At 48.6% G+C, this 24,389-nt stretch overlaps 1 protein-coding gene across 6 annotated transcripts in view; it reads left to right on the forward strand.

Moving 5' to 3' along the window:
- Positions 1–21,630, forward strand: part of NLRP2 (NLR family pyrin domain containing 2) — a 35,855-nt gene extending 14,225 nt beyond the window's left edge. For 3 of the 6 annotated variants that reach the window (NM_001174081.3, NM_017852.5, NM_001174083.2), the window contains 9 exons: positions 2,109–2,174; positions 2,654–4,220; positions 5,539–5,709; positions 6,643–6,807; positions 10,514–10,684; positions 10,994–11,164; positions 14,761–14,931; positions 17,809–17,979; positions 21,252–21,630. In NM_001174081.3, coding sequence (NP_001167552.1) covers positions 2,109–2,174; positions 2,654–4,220; positions 5,539–5,709; positions 6,643–6,807; positions 10,514–10,684; positions 10,994–11,164; positions 14,761–14,931; positions 17,809–17,979; positions 21,252–21,390 — 2,792 coding nt within the window. In that variant the 3' untranslated portion in view covers positions 21,391–21,630. Of the gene's footprint in view, positions 1–2,108; positions 2,175–2,653; positions 4,221–5,538; positions 5,710–6,642; positions 6,808–10,513; positions 10,886–10,993; positions 11,165–14,760; positions 14,932–17,808; positions 17,980–21,251 lie in introns of all 6 variants that reach the window. The other 3 variants (NR_145325.2, NM_001348003.2, NM_001174082.3) reach the window with 3 other exon arrangements.

Genomic DNA, 24,389 nt, shown 5'->3' on the forward strand with positions numbered 1-24,389 from the left:
TTTGCATTTGTTAGTTTTATTTTTAGTAGACAGGGTTTCACCATGTTGGGCAGGCTGGTCTTGAACTCCTGACCTCAGGTGATCCACCCACTTCGGCCTCCCAAAGTGCTGGGATTACAGGCATGAGCCACCGTACCTAGCCCACATTGACTTTTGATACAGCAAGTATTTCTTGCTATGGCTCTGTATAATAGAGGTGAGTAACTTGGTTGAAGGAATTGTTTGCCCTGTTCATCTCTCTAGACACGGCCAATGTCATTCCTGGCACACAATCTTTTTTTTTCTTGAGATGGAGTCTCACTCTGTTGCCCAGACTGGAGTGCAGTGGTGCAATCTTGGCCCACTGCAACCTCTGCTACCCAGGTTCAAGCGATTCTCCTGCCTCAGCCTCCCAAATAGCTGGGAGTACAGGTGTGTGCCACCACGCCCAGCTAATTTTTTGTATTTTAGTAGAGACAGGGTTTCACCGTGTTAGTCAGGATGGTCTGGATCTCCTAACCTCGTGATCCGTCCGCCTCAGCCTCCCAAAGTGCTGGGATGACAGGCGTGAGCCACTGTGCCCAGCCTAGCACACAATCTTGACAAAGAATTTCGGTGCGACTTGGGGTACTGTGGTGCCTGCTCTATCATCATGCTTCAGCAGGAAATGTGGGTGAATAGTGCCTGGTGGCATGGCAGGTAAAGAAATGTTTTGTTTTGTTTTTTTTTTTGAGACAGTCTTGCTCTGTCACCCAAGCTGGAGTGCAGTGGCGCAATCTCGGCTCACTGCAAGCTCCATCTCCCGGGTTCACGCCATTCTGCCTCAGCCTCCCCAGTAGCTGGGACTACAGGCGCCCGCCACACGCCCGGCTAATTTTTTGTATTTGTAGTAGAGACAGGGTTTCACCGTGTTAGCCAGGATGGTCTCGATCTCCTGACCTTATGATCCACCCGCCTTGGCCTCCCAAAGTGCTGGGATTACAGGCGTGAGCCACCGCGCCCAGCCGCGGGTAAAGAAATTTATGAAGACAATCGTAGGTAAAGGAAGGCAGATTTATTGGAGAAAGTAGGAAAAGACATTGGCAGAGAGACCCCAGCGGGCAGGTTGTCATGAGTAGCTCACTGCCAGGAGACCAAAGCTTCCTGCAGATTTTATAGAATAGGGCTTGGGCTGATTGATAATGTCAACAGGGGGTTTAACTTGCGGTCTTCTTTCAGCAGAAGTGTTTGATAAACTGAGGCGTTTCATGGCAAACAGGGAGTTTGTGAGCTCTGTGTGTGATCTGGCCAGGAAGGCCAAACATCTTGGGCCGTATCTCCTGGACCATAAAAGCAGACCTGGCCCAGTGCAGTGGTTCATGCCTGCAATCCCAGCACTTTGGGAGGCTGAGGTGGGTGGATCATCTGAGGTCAGCAGTTTTAGACTGGCCTGGCCAACATGGCGAAACCCCATCTCTACTAAAAATACAAAAATTAGCCTAGACGCAGTGGCACATGCCTGTAATTCCAGTTACTTGGGAAGCTGAGGCAGGAGAATCGCTTGAACCCGGGAGGCGGAGGTTGCAGTGAGCTGAGATTGCGCCACTGCACTCCAGCCTGGGCAACAGAGTGAGACTGTCTCAAACAGACCTATAGCTGACCTGTTTCCTCTTGTTTGTATGCCCTGAACCATGGAGGAAAGCTTATTTATTTATTTTATTGAGATGGAGTCTTGCTCTGTTGCCCAGGGTGGAGTGCAGTAGTGCGATCTCTTACTACAACCTCCATCTCCCAGGTTCAAGCAATTCTCGAGCCTCTTGGCCTCCCAAGTAGCTGAGATTACAGGCATGCGCCACCACGCCTGGCTAATTTTTGCATTTTTAGTAGAGATGGGGTTTCTGTGTTGGCCAGGCTGGTCTCGAACTCCTGAGCTCAAGTGATCCACCCCACCTCAGCCTCCCAAAGTTCTGGGATTATAGGCATGAGCCACCACACCTGGCCGGAAAACACATTTGTAGCTTATTTGCTTTATCTGATCCCGTGCCCCCCCTCCCCCCCGCCCCATCAGCCTGCCTCCTTTTCTCTAATTGGGACTCCACAGGAAATACACCTGATTTTGTGTCAATCTCACATGAGTTTGTATTTTGTAGCGTTTACAGAAACGAAAGGAAATGTCATCTGCCTGGGTAAAGAAGTCTTTAAAGGAAAAAAGCCAGGTCTGTACCATATCTTCCTGCAGGGAGCTTGGGATCAGATTTCTCTTTATAAACTTGAAGTCCTCTTAACTTTCCTATGTAACACAAAGCATTTATTTATGTATGTATGTATCGAGACGGAGTTTTGCTCTTGTTGCCCAGGCTGGAGTGCCGTGGCGTGATCTCGACTCACTGCAACCTCCGCCTCCCAGGTTCAAGCAATTCTCCTGCCTCAGCCTCCCGAGTAGCTGGGATTACAGGCATGCGCCACCATGACTGGCTAATTTTTTATTTTTAGTAGAGACAAGGTTTCTTCATGTTGGTCAGGCTGGTGTTGAACTCCCAATGTCAGGTGATCTGCCTGCCTCGACCTCCCAAAGGGCTGGGATTACAGGCATGAGCCACTGTGCCCGGCCAACACAAGGCATTTTGTTATTTTGGTTTTCCCTATGGGTAACTGATTGCATCCTCTCTCCCTTCCCTCCTCACCAATGATAAAGACAAAGACAATAGGTGCAGGTATATATTGAAGACGAAGTTCCGGGAGATGTGGAAGAGCTGGCCTGGAGATAGCAAAGAGGTCCAGGTTATGGCTGAGAGATACAAGATGCTGATCCCATTCAGCAACCCCAGGGTGCTTCCCGGGCCCTTCTCATACACGGTGGTGCTGTATGGTCCTGCAGGCCTTGGGAAAACCACGCTGGCCCAGAAACTAATGCTAGACTGGGCAGAGGACAACCTCATCCACAAATTCAAATATGCGTTCTACCTCAGCTGCAGGGAGCTCAGCCGCCTGGGCCCGTGCAGTTTTGCAGAGCTGGTCTTCAGGGACTGGCCTGAATTGCAGGATGACATTCCACACATCCTAGCCCAAGCACGGAAAATCTTGTTCGTGATTGACGGCTTTGATGAGCTGGGAGCCGCACCTGGGGCGCTGATCGAGGACATCTGCGGGGACTGGGAGAAGAAGAAGCCGGTGCCCGTCCTCCTGGGGAGTTTGCTGAACAGGGTGATGTTACCCAAGGCCGCCCTGCTGGTCACCACGCGGCCCAGGGCCCTGAGGGACCTCCGGATCCTGGCGGAGGAGCCGATCTACATAAGGGTGGAGGGCTTCCTGGAGGAGGACAGGAGGGCCTATTTCCTGAGACACTTTGGAGACGAGGACCAAGCCATGCGTGCCTTTGAGCTAATGAGGAGCAACGCGGCCCTGTTCCAGCTGGGCTCGGCCCCCGCGGTGTGCTGGATCGTGTGCACGACTCTGAAGCTGCAGATGGAGAAGGGGGAGGACCCGGTCCCCACCTGCCTCACCCGCACGGGGCTGTTCCTGCGTTTCCTCTGCAGCCGGTTCCCGCAGGGCGCACAGCTGCGGGGCGCGCTGCGGACGCTGAGCCTCCTGGCCGCGCAGGGCCTGTGGGCGCAGACGTCCGTGCTTCACCGAGAGGATCTGGAAAGGCTCGGGGTGCAGGAGTCCGACCTCCGTCTGTTCCTGGACGGAGACATCCTCCGCCAGGACAGAGTCTCCAAAGGCTGCTACTCCTTCATCCACCTCAGCTTCCAGCAGTTTCTCACTGCCCTGTTCTACACCCTGGAGAAGGAGGAGGAAGAGGATAGGGACGGCCACACCTGGGACATTGGGGACGTACAGAAGCTGCTTTCCGGAGTAGAAAGACTCAGGAACCCCGACCTGATCCAAGCAGGCTACTACTCCTTTGGCCTCGCTAACGAGAAGAGAGCCAAGGAGTTGGAGGCCACTTTTGGCTGCCGGATGTCACCGGACATCAAACAGGAATTGCTGCGATGCGACATAAGTTGTAAGGGTGGACATTCAACGGTGACAGACCTGCAGGAGCTCCTCGGCTGTCTGTACGAGTCTCAGGAGGAGGAGCTGGTGAAGGAGGTGATGGCTCAGTTCAAAGAAATATCCCTGCACTTAAATGCAGTAGACGTTGTGCCATCTTCATTCTGCGTCAAGCACTGTCGAAACCTGCAGAAAATGTCACTGCAGGTAATAAAGGAGAATCTCCCGGAGAATGTCACTGCGTCTGAATCAGACGCCGAGGTTGAGAGGTGAGAACCGTTTCACTCTACCAGTCGTTCCATCTTTAGCCTCATCCCATGCCCCCTTAGGAAGAGGCCAGAGCCTCCTATGCACTGTGGCTTAGGGTCAGGAATTCCCTCTTGTTGGACTCTTTGTTTGTTTTTGTTTTGAGATGGAGTCTTGCTCTGTCGCTCAGGCTGGAGCGCAGTGGCGCGATCTTGGCTCCCTGCAACCTCCGCCTCCCGGGTTCAAGTGATTCTTCTGCCTCAGCCTCCTGAGTAGCTGGGACTACAGGCGCCTGCCACCTTGCCCGGCTAATTTTTATATTTTCATTAGAGACGGGATCTCAGCATGTTGGCCAGTCTGGTCTTGAACTCCGCCTGACCTCAGGTGATCCACCTGCCTCAGCCTCCAAAGTGGGATTACAGGCATGATTCACCATGCCCGGCCCAAATATATTTTTTTAAGACAGGGTCTTGCTGTGTTGCTCAGGCTGGAGTACAGTGGTGAAATCAGCTCACTGCATCCTCAAACTTCTGGGTTCAAGTGATGTTCCTGAGTACCTGGGATGACAGGTATTAAGTGTGCACCATCATGTCCAGCTAACTTAAGTGGGGGTTTTTTTTTGTGTTTTTTTTTTTTTTTTTTTTTTTGGAAAGACAAAATCTCACTATGTTGTCCAGGCTGGTCTTGAACTCCCAAAGCACTGAGATTACAGGCATGAGTTACCACACGCCCTGCCTGAATATTTCTTATTGATATGTATAGATATGTATATTCCCAATCTTTTTTTTTTTTTTTGAGACGGAGTTTCACTCTTTTTCCCAGGTCGGAGTGAAGTGGCTCGATCTCGGCTCACTGCAACCTCCGCCCCACCAGGTTCAATGATTCTCCTGCCTCAGCCTCATGAGTAGCTGGGATTACAGCCACCCACGACCATGCCCAGCTAATTTTTGTACTTTTAGTAGAGACGGGGTTTCACCATGTTGGCCAGGCAGGTCTCGAACTCCCGACCTCAGGTGATCCACCCGCCTCAGCCTCACAAAGTGCTAGGATTATAGGCGTGAGTCACCGTGCCCGGTCTATATTCTCTATCTTTTATCAATGATGTGCTTAGCATTTTAACTTATTTTTACCCTCTATTGGATTTTTGTCTAAGAAGAATAGGTTCTTTCTCCTGTGATGCTTCTTGGGTGTTGAGTTGTCTGATGGTGGTGCTAATAAGTGATTACATGGTCCAGCTTTCAATTGTACTCATTTGTCAGGGGTATATGCCCAGAGAAACCCTAAATACTTCAGCCGTGATGGACACACATTTGGTGTAACCCTTTCTTCTCTTCCCTATAGATCCCAGGATGATCAGCACATGCTTCCTTTCTGGACGGACCTTTGTTCCATATTTGGATCAAATAAGGATCTGATGGGTCTAGCAATCAATGATAGCTTTCTCAGTGCCTCCCTAGTAAGGATCCTGTGTGAACAAATAGCCTCTGACACCTGTCATCTCCAGAGAGTGGTGTAAGTAGAAACTAATTCATGAACTCAAATCCTTAGGGTATGAAAATGGTACAATGTTAACATCGGAGCAATATTCAGATTCCTGTACTAGACTCTTAAGTGCTCGAGACACAGGGAATTGAGAGAGTCCTGTCCTTAAATTTATTTTGTGGGATAATCGTATAAAGTAATTTCTAGGGGCTGGGCATGGTGGTTCACACTTGTAATTCCAACACTTCGGGAGGCCGAGGCAGACAGATCACTTGAGGTCAGGAGTTCGAGACCAGCCTGGCCAACGTGACAAAACCCTGCCTCTACTAAAAATACAAAAATTATCCAGGCGTGGTGGCAGGCACCTGTAATATCAGCTACTTGGGAGGCTGAGGCAGGAGAATTACTTGAACCCAGGAGGCGGAGGTTGCAGTGAACCAAGATCCTGCCACTGGACTCCAGTCTGAGTGACAGAGCGAGACTGCGTCTCAAAAAAAAAAAAAAAAAAAAAGAAAAAGAAAAAAAGGGCCGGGCACAATGGCTCACGCCTGTAGTCCCAGCACTTTGGGGGCCCAAGGTGGGGGGATCACTTGAGGTCAGGAGTTCAAGACCAGCCTGGCCAAGATGGTGCAAGACCCTGTCTCTACGAAAAATACAAAAATTTGCCAGGTGTCGTGGCAGGTGCCTATAATCCCAGCTACTCCGGATGCTGAGGGTAGGAGTCGCTTGAATCCGGGAGGCAGAGTTTGCTTTGCAGTGAGCCGAGATCGCGCCACTGCACTCCAGCCTGGGCAACAGAGTGAGACTCCATCTCAAAGAAAAAAAAAATCTGTAAAGATGGACAAAAATTTAAACATGGAAAAAATAGTTCCTAAAGTTTAAATATATCGAGCCCCTGGTTTCCATTTAAGTACGATACAGGTGTACACACTAAAGATTTCACTTTCGTTCTCTTTTCCCTAGGTTCAAAAACATTTCCCCAGCTGATGCTCATCGGAACCTCTGCCTAGCTCTTCGAGGTCACAAGACTGTAACGTATCTGACCCTTCAAGGCAATGACCAGGATGATATGTTTCCCGCATTGTGTGAGGTCTTGAGACATCCAGAATGTAACCTGCGATATCTCGGGTATATCTCTTAATCATTAAAATCCTTCATCATACAAACATAAGCTACCACAAGCTTATGTGGCAATTTTGTGTAAATAAGAAAAAGTTCGTTATTCTGACTAGAAACAGTACTAAGGGCAGATGACCCAGGATGCAGCATGGGCTGAACTTGAGTTTCTACTTGCCTTGAACAGTAAACACCCTGGACAACCATACGTGAGGACCCTGAATCCAAAGAAACTCCCAGAATCTTTATCATCTTTTTTTTTTTTTTTATGAAGTCTTGCTCTGTTGCCCAGGCCAAAGTGCAATGGCACGATCTTGGCTCACTGCAACCTCTGTCTCCTGGGTTCAAGTAATTCTGCTGCCTCAGCCTCCCAAGTTGCTGGGATTACAGGCACCCGCCACCACGCCCGGCTAATTTTTGTGCATTTAGTGGAGCTGGTTTCGCCACATTGCCAGGCTGGTCTCGAACTCATGACCTCAGGTGACCTGCCCTCCTCAGGCTCCCAAAGTGCTGGGATTATAGGCATGAGCCACCATGCCCAGCCAGAGTCCTTATGTTTTGGTTTTGGTTTTGGTTTTTTCTTTTTCTTTTTTCTTTTTGAGATGGAGTCTCGCTCTGTCACCCAGGCTGGAGTGCGTTGGTATGATCTCAGGTCACTGCAGCCTCCACCTCCCAGGTTCAAGTGATTCTCCTGCCTCAGCCTCCTGAGTAGCTGGGATTACAGGTGCACACCACCACACCTGGTTAATTTTTGTATTATTAGTAGAGATGGAGTTTTACCACATTGGCCAGGCTGGTCTCGAACTCATGACCTCAGGTGATCTACCCCCCCACCCCCACCCCACCCCGCCGTCGGCCTCCCAAAGTGAGGCATGAGCCACCGTGCCCAGCCCAGAATCTTTATCTTCTATCAGAGATCATTCACTCATGGTTCATGCTTCTCCTGTATGATGATTCAGAATACCAGCTATTGACATTTTTCAAGCAAGAACCCTTCAGGAACATCAAGTTGCCCCTTTTCTGTTAGTCCTCTGGTTTGAGAGCTCTCCCCTTGGGAAGCTGTCCAGTGGCTGCCCAGGCGATGAGAACCTACATGCATCATGGGGTTCCATGAAGCCTCACTTGGCCACACTGGTGTAGTAGGTGGTCATTGGCCTCAAATTATTGCCCTGGGCCAGGCGCAGTGGCTCACGCCTGGGAGGCCGAGGTGGGTGGATCACTTGAGGTCAGGAGTTCAAGACCGGCCTGGTCAACATGGTGAAACTCTGTCTCTACTAATAATACAAAAATTAGCTGGGCATGTTGGCGCACGCCTGTAGTCCCAGCTACTCAGGAGGCTGAGGCAGGAGCATCATTTGAACCTGAGAGGCGGAGGTTGCAGTGAGCTGAGATCACACCACCGCACTCCAGTCTGGGCAACAGTGTGAGACTGTCTCAAAAAAAAAAAAAAAAATCTTGGCTGGGTGCGGTAGCTCATGCCTGTAATCCCAGCACTTTGGGAGGCCAAGGCAGGTGGATCACAAGGTCAGGAGTTCAAGACCAGCCTGGCCAACATGGTGAAACCCCACGTCTACTAAAAATACAAAAACATTAGCTGGGCATGGTGGCGCGTGCCTGTAATCCCAGCTACTCATGGAGGCTGATGCAAGAGAATTGCTTGAACCTAGGAGGCAGAGGTAGCAGTGAGCCAAGATCACGCCATTGCACTCCAGCCTGGGCAACAGAGCAAAACTCCATCTCGAGGACAGAAAAAAAATTGATTGCTCTGGCTCTACTGATACAATCTTAGGCTGCTTAATGGGATCTTAGTTGAATAGGATGCTGTACATCTTACAGGTATTGGAAGGTTGAATGAAACCAAGCCCATGCATTCAATAGTGGCTGCTATCATTACTAACCGTTGCAATTACCCTCTTTTCTTTTTGCCTGAGAATAATGGGATGCAGGGTGAGGGGGAATATTGGGTGAATTAAAGATTTGGGTCACTAATTTCTTTCTTTTTTTCTCAAGATATAGTCTTGCTCTGTCTCCTAGGCTGGAGTGCAGTGCCACAATCTTGGTTCACTGCAACCTCTGCCTCCCGGGTTCAAGTGATTCTTCTCCGTCAACCTCCCAAGTAGCTGGGATTACAGGCACCCACCTGTATTTTTGTATTTCTAGTATTTTGTATTTCTAGTAGAGACAGGGTTACGCCATGCTGGTGGCCAGGGTGGTCTCAAACTCCTGACCTCGGGCAATCCACCACACCCAGCTAATTTTTGGTATATTTAGTAGAGCCGGGGTTTCACCGTGTTGGCTGGGCTGGTCTCGAACTCCTGACCTCAAGTGACATCCATCTTCCAAAATGCTGGGATTACAGCCATGTGCCACCACGCCCAGCTAATTCTTGTATTTTTAGGAGAAATGGGGTTTCATCATGTTGTTCCGGCTGGTCTTAAACTCCTGGCCTCATGATCCACCTGCCTTGGCCTGCCAAAGTCCTGGGATTACAGGCATGAGCCACTGTGCCCAGCCACTCATTTCTTATGAATTTATTCTAACACATTTTCCGGATGAACAGGGCACCTTGAAACATAGGTTAGTGGGCTGGGTATGGTGGCTCCTGCCTGTAATCCCAGTACTTTGGGAGGCCTAGGCTGGTGTATCGCTTGAAGTCAGGAGTTTTTTGTTTTGAGACGGAGTCTTGCTCTGTCGCCCAGGCTAGAGTGCAGTGGAGTGATCTCGGCTTACTGCAACCTCCGCCTCCTGGGTTCAAGTGATTCTCTTGCCTCAGCCTCCTGAGTAGCTGGGACTACAGGCACGTGTCGCCACGCCCATCTAACTTTTGTATGTTTAGTAGAGCCGGGGTTTCACCATGTTGGCCAGGATGGTCTCAAACTCCTGACCTCCTGATCTGCCCACCTCGGCCTCCCAAAGTGCTGGGATTACAGGCATGAGCCATTGCCCCGGCCAAAGTTAGGAGTTTGAGACCAGCCTGGCCAACATGGTAAAACCCCATCTCTACTAAAAAATACAAAAATTAGCCAGGCAAGATGGCATTTGCCTGTAATCCCAGCTACTCAGGAGGCTGAGGCGGGAGAATCTCTTGAATCTGGGAGGCAGAGGTTGCTGTGAGCTGAGATCGCGCCACTACACTCCAGCCAGGGCGACAGAGCATAAATAACTCCCTTTCAAAAAACCAAACAATGAAACATAGGTTAGCGGAGTCTGCATCCAACATTAGAGTCAGATTGACTAAGTTCTGTATTTCCAGCTGATTCCTGGGCGATGTTGGTGCCACTGGTCTGACCACCCTTTGACAACTGCTGCTCCAGATAATTCAAGTCGGGGTATAACACAACCAGTGAGATGTAAACCAAAGACGATTCCACGGTTAGATTCTCAAGAATGACTTGTTCTGCCGGGCGCGGTGGCTCACGCCTGTCATCCCAGCACTCTGGGAGGCCGAGGTGGGCAGATCACCTGAGATTGGGAGTTTGAGACCAGCCTGACCAACATGGAGAGACCCCCACCTCTACTGAAAATACAAAATTAGCTGGGCATGTTGGTGCATGGTGCATGCCTGCAGTCCCAGCTACTCGGGAGGCTGAGGCAGGAGAATCACTTGAACCCAGGAGGCGGAGGTTGCTGTGAGCCGAGATTGCGCCACCTGGGCAACAAGAGTGAGACTCAGTCTCAAAAAAAAAAAAAAAATGACGTGGTCCTATTTCTCCCACAGGTTGGTGTCTTGTTCCGCTACCACTCAGCAGTGGGCTGATCTCTCCTTGGCCCTTGAAGTCAACCAGTCCCTGACGTGCGTAAACCTCTCCGACAATGAGCTTCTGGATGAGGGTGCTAAGTTGCTGTACACAACTTTGAGACACCCCAAGTGCTTTCTGCAGAGGTTGTCGTAAGTCTCTCCTCTCTTACAGAGCAGCTGTGCTTTCGATCTGGGGCCACAGACGAGCAATGGTCATGCCTGACTTGGCTGTATGGAACCTCTCGCTGATGTGAACACCTGTTCCCATGTTTAGATCCAGGCCGATGGCCTGTGAATTTTGTTCTTCTCTCATTCCTATTCCTTCATAGGATCACCAGTGCATGATAGAAGGTGGGGAGTTCACAAGAAGGGGCTTTTGGATGCTGGCACTTGTGGAGCTAGCCGGGAAGGTTGAAGTTGGACCTGTCAACCGTGTTGCCATTTGTGATTCTTTTGTAGGTTGGAAAACTGTCACCTTACAGAAGCCAATTGCAAGGACCTTGCTGCTGTGTTGGTTGTCAGCCGGGAGCTGACACACCTGTGCTTGGCCAAGAACCCCATTGGGAATACAGGGGTGAAGTTTCTGTGTGAGGGCTTGAGGTACCCCGAGTGTAAACTGCAGACCTTGGTGTAAGTCCGTGCTGGCTGCCTGTGTGCGTGGGTGTATATGCACACGCCCCCCACCTCCGGGTTTGAGTAGGGTGGTTATGAGAACACTTAATTCCTCTAAAAGTTCCAAGCATGATGCTAATGACAACTGGTAAGACCTGGGTAGATGATGGTAGGAAAAAAGTATAAGTAGTAGTAGAGTAGTAGTAATATTCTATAGGGATTTGGGGAATGTAGCTGGTTTTCGGGTTTTTTTTTTCCTCTTTATGTATGTATGTATTTTAGAGATGGGATCTCGCCGTGTTGCCTAGGCTGGTCTCAAACTCCTGAGCTCAAGAGATCTGCCTGCCTTGGCCTCCCAAAGTGCTAGAATTACAGGCATGAGCCATGTCACCCCATGCTGTGTTTTCTCTTAATCTGTGTTCTTAGAACTATAACTGTAACATAAATTGCATGCAATTGGTTGTAAATGGAATTCATTTACTTATTTTTTAATGAATGATTTGCAAATCAGGTAGTCTTCTGGGCCAGTGTACGCTCAGACTCCCAATGGAAGCTATTGGAAGCTACATGCTCAATGTGATCCTCCTTTTAATACTAAAATCACAGGACACGTGGCCTGGCATAGTGGCTCACGCCTATAATCCCATCACCTTGGGAGGCCGAAGCAAGGCAGATCCCTTGAGGGCAGGAGTTCAAGACCAGCCTGCCCAACATGGTGAAACATTGTCTCTCTACTAAAAATACAAAAATTAGTCACGCATGGTGGGACATGCCTGTAATCCCAGTTACTCAGGAGGCTAAGGCAGGAGAATCACTTGAACTTCGGAGGTGGAGGTTGCAGTGAGCTGAGATGGCACCACTGAAGTCCAGTCTGGCCAATAGAGCAAGACTCTCTCAAAAAAAAAAAATTATAGGACAAATCTTTAGAAAGGAATTGGGGCCTGGCATGGTGGCTCATGCCTGTAATCTCAGCACTTTAGGAGGCGGGCAGAACACCTGAGGTCAGGAGTTTGAGACCAGCCTGGCTGATGCAGTGAAACCCTGTCTCTACTAAAAATACAAAAATTAGCTAGGCGTGGTGGTATGGTCCTGTAATCCCAGCTACTTGGGAGGCTGAGGCAGGAGAATCGCTTGAAGTCGGGAGGTTGCAGTGAGCCGAGATCGTGCCAGCCTGGGTGACAGAACGAGATTGTCTCAAAAAAAAAAAAAAATTGTATCTGCACTGATGGTTTCTGTTCAGAGATTCGATTTTATGTTAACATCTCTGGTATTTTTTTTTTTTTTTTTTAAGATGGAGTTTTACTCTTGCCCACGCTGGCAATGGCATGATCTAGGCTCACTGCAACCTCCGGCTTCAAGGAGGTTGATTCTCCTGCCTCAGCCTCCTGAGTAGCTGGGATTACAGGCACTCACCACCACGCCGGGCTAATTTTTATATTTTTAGTAGAGATGGGATTTCACCATGTTGGCCAGGTTGGTCTCGAACTGACCTCATGATCCGCCCGCCTCAGCCTTCCAAAGTGCTAGGATTTACAGGCATGAGCCACTGCGTCCAGCCATACATATCTCTGGTATTCTTTGTCTCTAACATCACCTCCAACAGTTAGGAACTGTCCTCTTCCTATGAAGTAACTAATCTAGGATATGTACCTGGCATCTGAAAACTACCCACTTAAATTTAATGACATATTCAGTTCATGGCTGGAGACGATGAGTAGAAGGAAAGGATTCTTCCCACACCCACTATATCTAGGCCCTGAAACATTAAAAAAGAAGTCCCACAAGCAGTGAGATGTCACCGACTCACTAACTGTATCTTCAAATGAATGTCTAGTTTTTTTGGTTGTGTGTGTGTGTGGTGTGTGGTGTGTGTGGTATTTTTTTGGGGGGGGGGGGGTTTTCTTTTTTTTTTTTTTTTGGTTTTTTTTTTTTGATAGTCTTGCTCTGTCGCCCAGGCTGGAATGCAGTGGCTCCATCTCAGCTCACTGCAACCTCCACCTCCTGAGTTCAGGTGTGATTCTCCTGCCTCAGCCTCCCAGGGATTAAGGTGCATGCCACCACGCCCAGCTAACTTCTTTATTTTTAGTAGAGACGAGTTTTCACCATGTTGGTCAAGCTGGTCTCGAATTCCTGACCTCAGGTGATCCACCCACCTCAGCCTCCCAAAGTGCTGGGATTACAGGTGTGAGCCACCGTGCCGGCCCCCTCAATTCAACTTTTTGATCCATGCCCCTATTTTGCTAAGTTGTCAACTTCCCTTTAGTCTTATGTGGGTTTTCCTCCATTACAGTCATGGAAGTTTCTAGAAGGCCGGGTAGGGTCTTTGAGAGGCCGAGGCAGGTGGATCATGAGGTCAGGAGTTCAAGACCAGCCTGGCCAACATGGTGAAACCCTGTCTTTACTAAAAATACAAAAATTAGCCAGGCGTGGTGTCGGAGCCTGTAATCCCAGCTTACTTGGGAGGGTGAGGCAGAGAATTGCTTGAACCTGGGAGGCGGAAGTTGCAGTGAGCTGAGATTGTGCCACTGTACTCCAGCCTGGGTGTCAGAGCGAGACTGTCTCAAAAAAAAAAAAAAAAAAGTTTCTATACATTCATAAAGTTTCAAGATTTGGGGGTGTGTTTTCACTTCTCCATCGTCATGGACTCCAATCTGCCATCTATTTCCAAGGCCCTTCCAGGTCCTGTGTCCCTCAGCTAGTGGTATGCTTCACTTGGGACCCAGAGATACATGGGCATTATAGTTCAAATTATAATTAAGTTTAGAACTCTATTGAGACAGAAGAAAGAAAACAGAGCTAAGGTGAAATATCTCTGATAATCTGTGTTGGTTAATATCTAGGATCCTAGTACCAGATATGTTGGAGTGTGAGCTGGTGTCTTCTGCCTGTAAGACACTACCTCTCTAGCAACTGAATTTAGCAAATACAATCGTAATCCCAGCATGTTAGGGAGGCCAGGGTGGGCAGATCATCTGAGGTCGGGAGTTCAAGACCAGCCTGGCCAACATGGGGAAACCCTGTCTCTACTAAAAATACAAAACTTAGCTGGGTGTGGTGGCACGCGCATGTGTGTACACACACACACCCCCCTGTAATCCCAGCTACTCGGAAGGCTGGGGCACAAGAATCGCGTGAAACCAGGAGGCGGAGGTTGAAGTGAGCCACCGTGCCAGCTGAGAATCCTTTTTACTTCTCCAACTTCTGTTGGCCACCTGCATTCCTTGGCTTGTGGCCCTTCCTCCAACTTCGGCAGAGCATCTTCAAACGTTGCCCTGGCTCCCTTATCACGTCACCTCCTGCTGGCTTTGACTCTCAGCTCCCTCTTATGAGGATCCCTGTGATTGCTGGACCTACCCAAATAAACCAGGATATAAACCATCTTAAGATGCTCAGTCACCTCTACGAGGTCCCTTTTGCTCGCAGGTGCCAGGAGTTGGGACTTGGACATCTTTAGGGGAGGCCATTCTTCTGTCCACCACACCACCCCATGATTCCATTTCCATGTCACCACTGTCTCTAAGTGTGTCTAACCCACGGCTCAAGAGTCAAAGGTGCATCACAGCAGTGAGAACTCACAGGTTCGGGTTTGCTTTCTTCCTGTGGTTGATTTCTAGGCTTTGGAACTGCGACATAACTAGCGATGGCTGCTGCGATCTCACAAAGCTTCTCCAAGAAAAATCAAGCCTGTTGTGTTTGGATCTGGGGCTGAATCACATAGGAGTTAAGGGAATGAAGTTCCTGTGTGAGGCTTTGAGGAAACCACTGTGCAACTTGAGATGTCTGTGGTGAGTTAACTTATAAGTTCAACTTCCTATACTTACACCTTACTGAATCTGTGGCTAGTGTAAAATAATCAGTGAAGCCGACTTCCCAAGTTATATAATTGAGAGGACCTTTATAGAGTCGATCGAGCATTTACTAGGATGGTTAAAGGAATAAGTTCTAGTCTATGTCTAAGTTTTTGTTTTTTTTTTTCTTGAAGTTTTGCTCTTGTCACATAGGCTGGAGTGCAGTGGCGTGATCTTGGCTCACTGCAACCTCCGCCTCCCAGGTTCAAGCAATTCTCTTGCTTCAGCTTCCCGAGTAGCTGGGATTACAGGCGCCCGCCACCATGCCCAGCTAATTCTTGTATTTTTAGTAGAGACAGGGTTTCGCCATGTTGAAGGTTCATCTCAAACTCCTGACCTCAGGTGATCCGCCCATCTCGGCCTCCCAAAGTGCTGGGATTACAGGCGTGAGCCACTGCGCCAGGCCCTATGTCTAAGTTCTAGTCTGTGTCATGCAAAGAACACCTGTGAAATTTTAAGGATACAGTGCCTCAAGCCATTCAGCCAAAAGCCACTGCCCAGCACCCCACATTCAGAGAGGTGGGAATTGGGCCAGGCACAGTGGCTCATACCTGTAATCCCAGCACTTCGGGAGGCCGAAGCGGGCGGATCACTTAAGGTCAGGAGCTCAAGACCAGCCTGGCCAACTTGAAACTCCATCTCTACTAAAATATAAAAATTAGCCGAGCATAGTAGTGGGTGCCTCTTTTTTTTTTTTTTTTTTTTTTGAGATAGTTTCACTCTTGTTGCCCAGGCTGTAGTGTAATGGCGCGATCTCAGCTCACTGCAACCTCCACCTCCTGGGTTCAAGTGATTCTCCTGCCTTAGCCTCCCACATAGCTGCAAATAAACAGGCATGTGCCACCATGCCTGGCTAATTTTGTATTTTTAGTATAGACGGGGTTTCTCCATGTTGGTCAGGCTGGTCTCGACCTCCGGACCTCAGGTGAGAGCCACCGTGCCCAGCCAGTAGGTGCCTTTAATCCCAGCTACTTGGGAGGCTGAGGCAGGAGAATCACTTGAACCCTGGAGGCAGAGGTTGCAGTGAGCTGAGATCCTGTCACTACACTCCATCCTGGGCTACAAGAGCAAGACTCCATCTCAGGAAAAAATAAAAAAGAGGTAGGAATTAGATATCGTGCCAGAAAATGCTGGCTCTATCAGCAGGTGAGTGGTCTCAACTTGGCTATCTTACAAATACCTTGTGAGTTAGCTACAATCAGATGCACTTGAACCTGGAATCCTATCTGGGAGGCAATCTTAAAAGAATTTGACTCGGGATGGGCAAGGTGGCTCATGCCTGTAATCCTGGCATTTTGGGAGTCCAAGGCAGGTAGATTGCTTGAGGCCAAGAATTTAAAAACAGCCTGGCCAACACAATGAAGCCCTGTCTCTACTGAAAGTACAAAAATCCGCTGAGCATGGCTGTGTACCTCTGCTCCCAGTTACTCAGGAGGCTGAGGTGGGAGGATCACTTGAGCCTGGGAGGAAGAAGTTACAGCGAATTGAGATCACGTCACCTCACTCCAGCCTGGGTGACAGTGAGATCCTGTCTCAAAAAAAAAAAAAAAACAAAAAAAACAAAGGCGCCTTTTTAATCACTCACTGACACGTGTAGAGGAGCAAAAAGTTTGAGTTGCTGGTTGGCCCAGGAGGTCAAGGCTGCAGTGAGCCAAGATGGCGTTACCACACTCCAGCCTGGGCAACCGAGTGAGACCGTGTTTCAAAAAATAAAGTGGCAGGGTGCAGTGGCTCATGCCTGTAATTCCAGCACTTTGGGAGGCCGAGGCAGGTGGATCACCTAAGGTCAGGAGTTCGTAGACCAGCCTGTCTCTACTAAAGAGACAGGTGAAACCCTGTCTCTCTAAAACCACAAAAATCAGGCAGGCATGGTGGCACATAGCTATAATCTCATCTACTTGGAGGCACGAGAACTGCTTGAATCCAGGAGGCAGAGGCTACAGTGAGCCGAGATCATGCCACAGCACTCCAGCCCTGGCGAGAGAGCAAGACTGTCTCAAAGAATAACTTCAAAGATGGAAGTTATTTAACCTCTCTGCTCAAAAGCCTCAGTGCTTCCCTATGTCAATCCAGGTAAAATCCTATATTGACGATGGCTTCAGGGTCTTCTGTGAGCTGGCCACTGCTTACCTATGACCTCATCTTGACAATCCTCCCTGTCTCACTCATGCCCGCTGCCTGGATGTTCTATTTTACGTGTCAGTCACATGTATCTTCAGGGCCTCTGCACAAGCTATTTCTCTGCCTGGAGAACTCCCCCCCGAGCTCTATGACTCGGTCTCTTCACCCCCTCACCTCCAACCATTGTAGCCAGAACCCCCAGTTATTCCCTGTACCCCTTGCCCTTCAGAACCCCTCATCGCCTCCATATTTTCCTGTTAGCAGATGAGCCCTGAGGGCGGAGACGTTTTGTTTGTTTTTTGAGACCGGAGTCTCACTCTGTCACCCAGGCTGGAGTGCAATGGCGCGATCTCGGCTCACTGCAACCTCCGCCTCCTGGGTTCAAGCGATTCTCCTGCCCCAGCCTCCTGAGTAGCTGGGATTACAGGTGCCTGTCACCACGCCCAGCTAACTTCTGTATATTTAGTAGAGACACGGTTTTACCATGTTAGGTTGGTCTTGAACTCCTTGACCTCAGGTGATCCATCCACCTCGGCCTCCCAAAGTGCTGGGATTACAGGCGTGAACCACCGTGCCCGGCCTGAGACTTCTGTTGGTCATGCAGATCCCCAACACACGAGGGTGGGCTTGGCTTGCCGGAGGGCATCGATCAGCACTGGCTGCATTAACGTGTTGATTTCTGTGTTTCCCCAGGTTGTGGGGATGTTCCATCCCTCCGTTCAGTTGTGAAGACCTCTGCTCTGCCCTCAGCTGCAACCAGAGCCTCGTCACTCTGGACCTGGGTCAGAATCCCTTGGGGTCTAGTGGAGTGAAGATGCTGTTTGAAACCTTGACATGTTCCAGTGGCACCCTCCGGACACTCAGGTATGATCCATTTACTTCCCCATCAGGCTTTCTCCAGAGTGGTAGGTTTAGGGGAAGCATAATGACATGGACCTGCTGTAGGAGACTGATCTGGTAGCTGGATTACAGGTTCCCGCCATCACACCCAGCCAATTTCTGTATTTCACTTGGAGAAACGGGGTTTCACCATGTTGGTCAGGCTGGTCTCAAACTCCTGACCTCAGGTGATCCGCCCGCCTCGGCCTCCCAAAGTGCTGGGATTACAGGCGTGAGCAACCGCACCCGGCCACCTTTTTTTTTTTTTTCCTTTGAGGCAAGAACTCACTATGTTCCCCAGGCTGGAGTCCAGCAGCACAATGATGGCTCGCTGCAGGCTCGCTCCAGCTCCTGGGCTCAAGCAATCCTGCCTCAGTTCCTGAGTAGGTAGGTTTATAAGCATGAACCATTGCACCCAGCCACGGCTGCCGTCTACCTGCTCATGATAGCCATTTGTCACTGGGCTGTGTTTTGTTTGTTGCATTTTGTCAGGGTTTTGGGGTTTTGTTTTGTTTTTTCTTTCTTTTTTTTTTTTTTTTTCTGAGATGGAGTCTCACTCTGTTGCCCAGGCTGGGGTGCAGTGGTTGCTAACTGCAACCTCCACCTCCCAGGTTCCAGCTATTCTCATGCTTCAGCCTCCCAAGTAGCTGGGATTACAGGCATGCACCACCACACCTAGGTAATTTTTGTATTTTTAGTAGAGACAGGGTTTTGCCATGTTGGCCAGGGTGGTCTCAAACTCCTGACCTCCGTGATTTGCCCACCTCAGCATCCCAAAGTGCTGGGATTACAGGCATGAGCCACCGCACCCGGCCTGAGTTGTATTTTGATACCATGGCATCAAAGAACCAAGAAGCCCCTTCCTAGGAATGTGGGAACTTCAGAAATTCTCACAAGCAATATACTCTACTGCTGGCTTAAAATAATCTTTATGTAGAAGAAACATAGATTACTTGTTTATTTAACATGAAACTCAGCCTAAGATACTTTGTAAGTCAAAAGACATATGGACACTAAGGGTTTTTTTAAGCTTTAAGTTTGTTTGTTTGTTTATTTATTATTTATTTTGGAGACAGTTTTACTCTTTTTTTTGGGGTGCATCTTTTTTCTTTTTTTTTTTTTTTTTTCCTTTTTTTTTTTTTTTTTTTTTATTGATCATTCTTGGGTGTTTCTCACAGAGGGGGATTTGGCAGGGTCATAGGACAATAGTGGAGGGAAGGTCAGCAGATAAACAAGTGAACAAAGGTCTCTGGTTTTCCTAGGCAGAGGACCCTGCGGCCTTCCGCAGCGTTTGTGTCCCTGGGTACTTGAGATTAGGGAGTGGTGATGACTCTTAACGAGCGTGCTGCCTTCAGGATCTGTTTAACAAAGCATATCTTGCACCGCCCTTAATCCGTTTAACTCTGAGTGGACACAGCACATGTTTCAGAGAGCACGGGGTTGGGGGTAAGGTCACAGATCAACAGGATCCCAAGGCAGAAGAATTTTTCTTAGTACAGAACAAAATGGGGGGCTGACCCCCCCACCTCCCTCCCGGACAGGGCGGCTGGCCGGTTAGAGGGGCTCCTCACTTCCCATTAGGGGCGGCCGGGCAGAGGCGCCCCTCACCTCCCGGACAGGGCGGCTGGCTGGGCGGGGGGCTGACCCCCCCACCTCCCCGCCCGGCCAGAGTTTTACTCTTGTTGTCCAGCCTGGAGCGCAATGGCGCTATCTCGGCTTACTGCAACCTCCGCCTCCCGGGTTCAAGAGGTTCTCCTCCCTCAGCCTCCCAAGTAGCTGGGACTACAGGCATGTGCCACCACACCTGGCTAATCTTGTATTTTTAATAGAGACAGGGTTTCTCCATATTGGTCAGGCTGGTCTCGAACTCCTGACTTCAGGTGACCCGCCTGCCTCAGCCTCCCAAAGTGCTAAGATTACAGGCGTGAGCCACCATGCCTGGCCTGCATCTCCTCTGTTTAACTGGTACTCCGGGGTCCACTGAGTAGAAGTTGCCAAAGTGGGTGATAGAGCGGGTAAGCAGGTATTAGAGCTATAGCCCAGCTGTACTCAGCAATTCCATTTTCTGTGTATGATAATCAACAAGCATCTCAAACTGCACAATGGCTATATACCATTACAAGGTTAACCTGATGTTATGTTTTTCTCTATCAGATCAACATGGTTGAGAATAAGAGGAATGAAAAAAAGGATTAAAAAGAGAAATGAAAGTCTTTAATATTACATTTTATTATTTACTTCATTTATTTTTTAGACAAAAATCTCACTCTATTGCTCAGGCTGGAGTGCAGGGGCCCGATCTCAGCTCACTGTAACCTCCGCCTCCCAGGTTCAAGTGATTCTCCTGTGTCAGCTTCCTGAGTAGCTGGGATTATAGGGATGCACCATCACACCCAACTAACTTTTATATTTTTAGTAGAGATGGACTTTCACCATCTTGCCTAGGCTGGTCTCAAACTCCTGACCTCAAGTGATCTGCCCACCTCACTCTCCCAAAGTGCTGGCATTACAGGCATGACCCACCACATCTGGCCTCATTTTATATTTAAAAATAAAAAATAAGCAAATCAAGCCAGGTACAGTTTAGGCAACATGGTAAAACCCCAACTCTACTAAAAATACAAAAATTAGCTGAGCATGGTGGCAGGTGCCTGTAGTCCCAGCTACTCGGGAGGCAGAGGATAGGATGGCTTGAACCCAAGAGGCACAGGTTGCAGTGAGCTGAGATGGTACCACTGCACTCCAGCTTGGGCAACAGAGAGACTGTCTTTTTTTTTTTTTTTTTTTTTTTTTTTTTTTTTTTTTTTGAGATCGCCCAGGCTGGAGTACAGTGGCACGATCTCGGCTCACTGCAAGCTCCGCCTCCCGGGTTCACACCATTCTCCTGCCTCAGCCTCCTGAGTAGCTGGGACTACAGGCGTCCGCCACCACGCCCGGCTAATTTTTTGTATTTTTTTAGTAGAGACAGGGTTTCACCGTGTTAGCCAGGATGGTCTTGATCTGCTGACCTCGTGATCCACCCGCCTCAGCCTCCTAAAGTGCTGGGAATTACAGGCGTGAGCCATCACGCCCCACCTGAGACTGTCTTTTAAAAAAAAAAAAAAAAAATCAATGTGGAACACTCCTTTGCCACCTAGAATAATCAGGAAAGGTGACCCATGCCCTGTGCCTCCTTAACAGACTTTCAGGTACTTGGGAATTTGAAACAAATCTCCTTGATGCACAAAGTAACCTTTTCTTCCCCCATTGTACCCCAGGTTGAAAATCGATGACTTTAATGATGAACTCAATAAGCTGCTGGAAGAAATAGAAGAAAAAAACCCACAACTGATTATTGATACTGAGAAACATCATCCCTGGGCAGAAAGGCCTTCTTCTCATGACTTCATGATCTGAATCCCCCCGAGTCATTCATTCTCCATGAAGTCATCGATTTTCCAGGTGTTGGTGAACTGCCTGTGACTCCTCTCCTCCCCGGCCCCTACCCCTCAGGGATAATGAGTTCATTGCTGGGCTAGATGTTTTAGCCATGATTCTGCCTCTGTTTTATACCTGCACACATCCTTATCTTTGTTACATATGAAATATCTGTATCACGGGTATATTGAGAGAAATAAAGGTGAGAGCATTCACAAATGAAGCTGTTACTTAATAATGGGCTTTGACAAGTTAGAGAAAAGATATCTTACTGGGTAGAACCTGGGGGGTGGGGGAAGTGACAGTGTTTAATTGCATTGATTTCTATTGCCTTGTCAATCTTTGCCTTGCCTTGGTATTTCCTTTCTTTTTTCTTTTCTTTTTTTTTTTTTTTTTTTTTAGACTGAGTTTCACTCTGTTGCCCACGCTGGAGTACACTGGCACGATCTCAGCTTACTACAACCTGGCAGGTTCAAGCGATTCTCCTGTCTCAGCCTCCTGAGTAGCTGGGATTACAAGCATCCCCCACCACACCCGGCTAAATTTTTTTGTATTTTTAATAGAGATGAGGTTTCACCATGTTGGCCAGTCTGGTCTCAAACTCCTGACCTCAAGTGATCCACCCACCTCAGCCTCCCAGAGTGCTGGGATTACAGGCATGAGCCACTGTACCCGGCTTTTTTTTTTTTCTTTTTCTTTTTCCTCAAGCATGAGTGTTGCTCTGTTGCCCAGGCTGGAATACAGCAGCATGATGATAGCTCACTGCAGCCTCAAGCTCCCAGGTTCAAGCGATCCTCCAGCCTCAGCCTCCTCAGTAGCTGGGACTACAGGTGCACACCACCAAACCAGGCCAATTTTTGTGGGATTTTTTTTGAAGACAGGGTCTCACTATGTTGCCCAGGCTGATCTCAAACTCCCAGGCGCAAGTAATATTCCTGCCTCAGCCTCCCAAAGTGCTAGGATTACAGGTGTGAACCACTGTGCCTAGCCTGTCTTGTTACTTGTTGACCTGCGTGGATCACTGCCTGCTGAGTATTACTTGCCAGAGGATTTCTCCTACCAATCTACAATATTTTAGGTGCTTCGGTGTAGCTCATATATGACCATGTCATTGCTCTGATTTTGCTTTTTAAAAATTCTAACTTAAAATAGAATCTCGGCCAGGCACGGTGGCTCACACCTGTAATCCCAGCACTTCGGGAGGCTGAGGTGGGTGGATCACGAAGTCAGGAGTTGGAGACCAACCTGGCCAACGTGGTGAAACCCCGTCTCTACTAAAAATATAAAAAATTAGCCAGGCATGGTGGCACATGCCTGTAATCCCAGCTACTTGGGAGGCTGAGGCAGGAGAATTGCTTAAACCCAGGAGGTGGATGTTGCACTGTGCTGAAGACTGCACTACTGCATTCCAGCTTGGGCAACAGAGTGACTCCTTCTCCAAAAAAAAACAAAATCTCATGGTATGCATAGTTTTTCACTATAGAGTCTCCATTATTTCCTTGTGATACAGAATTCCAAATTCAACAAAGCAGCAGTGCAAGCTCTACGCTGTAAAACCACAAACAAAACGAACTGTACTATAAAGACAACACTAGTTGGCAAAGTTGCTTCTCATGGGGAGACTTTGTTGCTGTCTGTGTTTACTGGATGAGCAAACAAATGGACGGTAAGGGGGAAAAAGAACAGTACAAATTTTTATTAAACACTAATCATGTTTTTTTTTGTTTGTTTTGAGACAGTTTCTTCTTGTTGCCCAGGCTGGAGTGCAATGGCACGATTTTGGCTCACTGCAACCTCCGCCTCCCCGGGTTCAAGCGATTCTCTTGCCTCGACCTACTGAGTAGCTGGGATTATAGGCATGTGCCACCAAGCCTGGCTAATTTTGAATTTTTAGCAGAGACGGGGTTTTTCCATGTTGGTCAGGCTGGTCTCGAACTCCCGACCTCAGGTGATCCACCAGCCTTGGTCTCCCAAAGTGCTGGGATTACAGGTATAAGTCACCGCACCTGGCAACATTTTTTTCTTTTTTTTTTTTTTTTTTTTTTTTTTTTTTGGTGGCAGAATCTTGCTCTTTCACCCAGGCTGGAATGCAATGGCACGATCTCGGGTCACTGCAGCCTCCACCTCCCCAGTTTAAGCAGTTCTCCCATCTCAGCCTCCCATGTAGCTGGGACCACAGGTGTGCACCACTGCACCCAGGTAATTTTTGCATTTTTGGTAGAGATAGGGTTTTGCCACGTTGTCCAGACTGGTCTTGAACTCCTGAGCTCAGGTGATCTGCCCACCTTGGCCTCCCCAAATGCTGGGATTATAGGCATGAGCCACCACACCTGGTCAAAAGTAGTTTTAATATTTAAATTTAAAACTAAAAAAGTTAATCTCTCTTCCTACTTTCATTTCTTCATCAGGGGCTATTGGTTTATTCCCACCGACTAGATCCAAGTTCTCTGATACTACCTTTAAACCACTCCATCACTTTCCAGTTCCACTGCATACAGTGTGGGCTTCTGAGGTTTCCTGGTTCAAGGTGTCCTTGTTCAATGCGGCATGGGTCATTCCCTGAGCATTTTTTTTTTTTTTTGACAGTCTCGCTCCATTGCCCGGTTTGGAGTGCAGTGGTGTGACCTCGGCTTACTGCAGCCTCTGCCTCCCAAGTTCAAGCAATTCTGCCTCAGGCTCCCGGATAATTTTTGCATTTTTAGTAGAGACAGGGTTTCACCGCGCTGGCCAGGCTGGTCTCGAACCCCTAACCTCAAGCGATCTGCCTGCCTCGGTCTCCCAAAGTGCTGGGATTACAGACATAAGCTACCGTGCCCGGCCTCCAGAGCATCTTTATTCTCAGTTTCAGCGGGAAGAAGGGGGAAGGTTGGTAAAAAGAGAGGCACAAAGTTTAAAAAGGACATTGCGTGAAGAAACTAAAGGTTTCTCCTTCTCCACACTATTGACATTTGGGATCGGATCACTACTCGTTGGGAAAC

Source organism: Homo sapiens, chromosome 19, assembly GCF_000001405.40.
Source record: "Homo sapiens chromosome 19, GRCh38.p14 Primary Assembly".
NCBI lineage: Eukaryota > Metazoa > Chordata > Mammalia > Primates > Hominidae > Homo > Homo sapiens.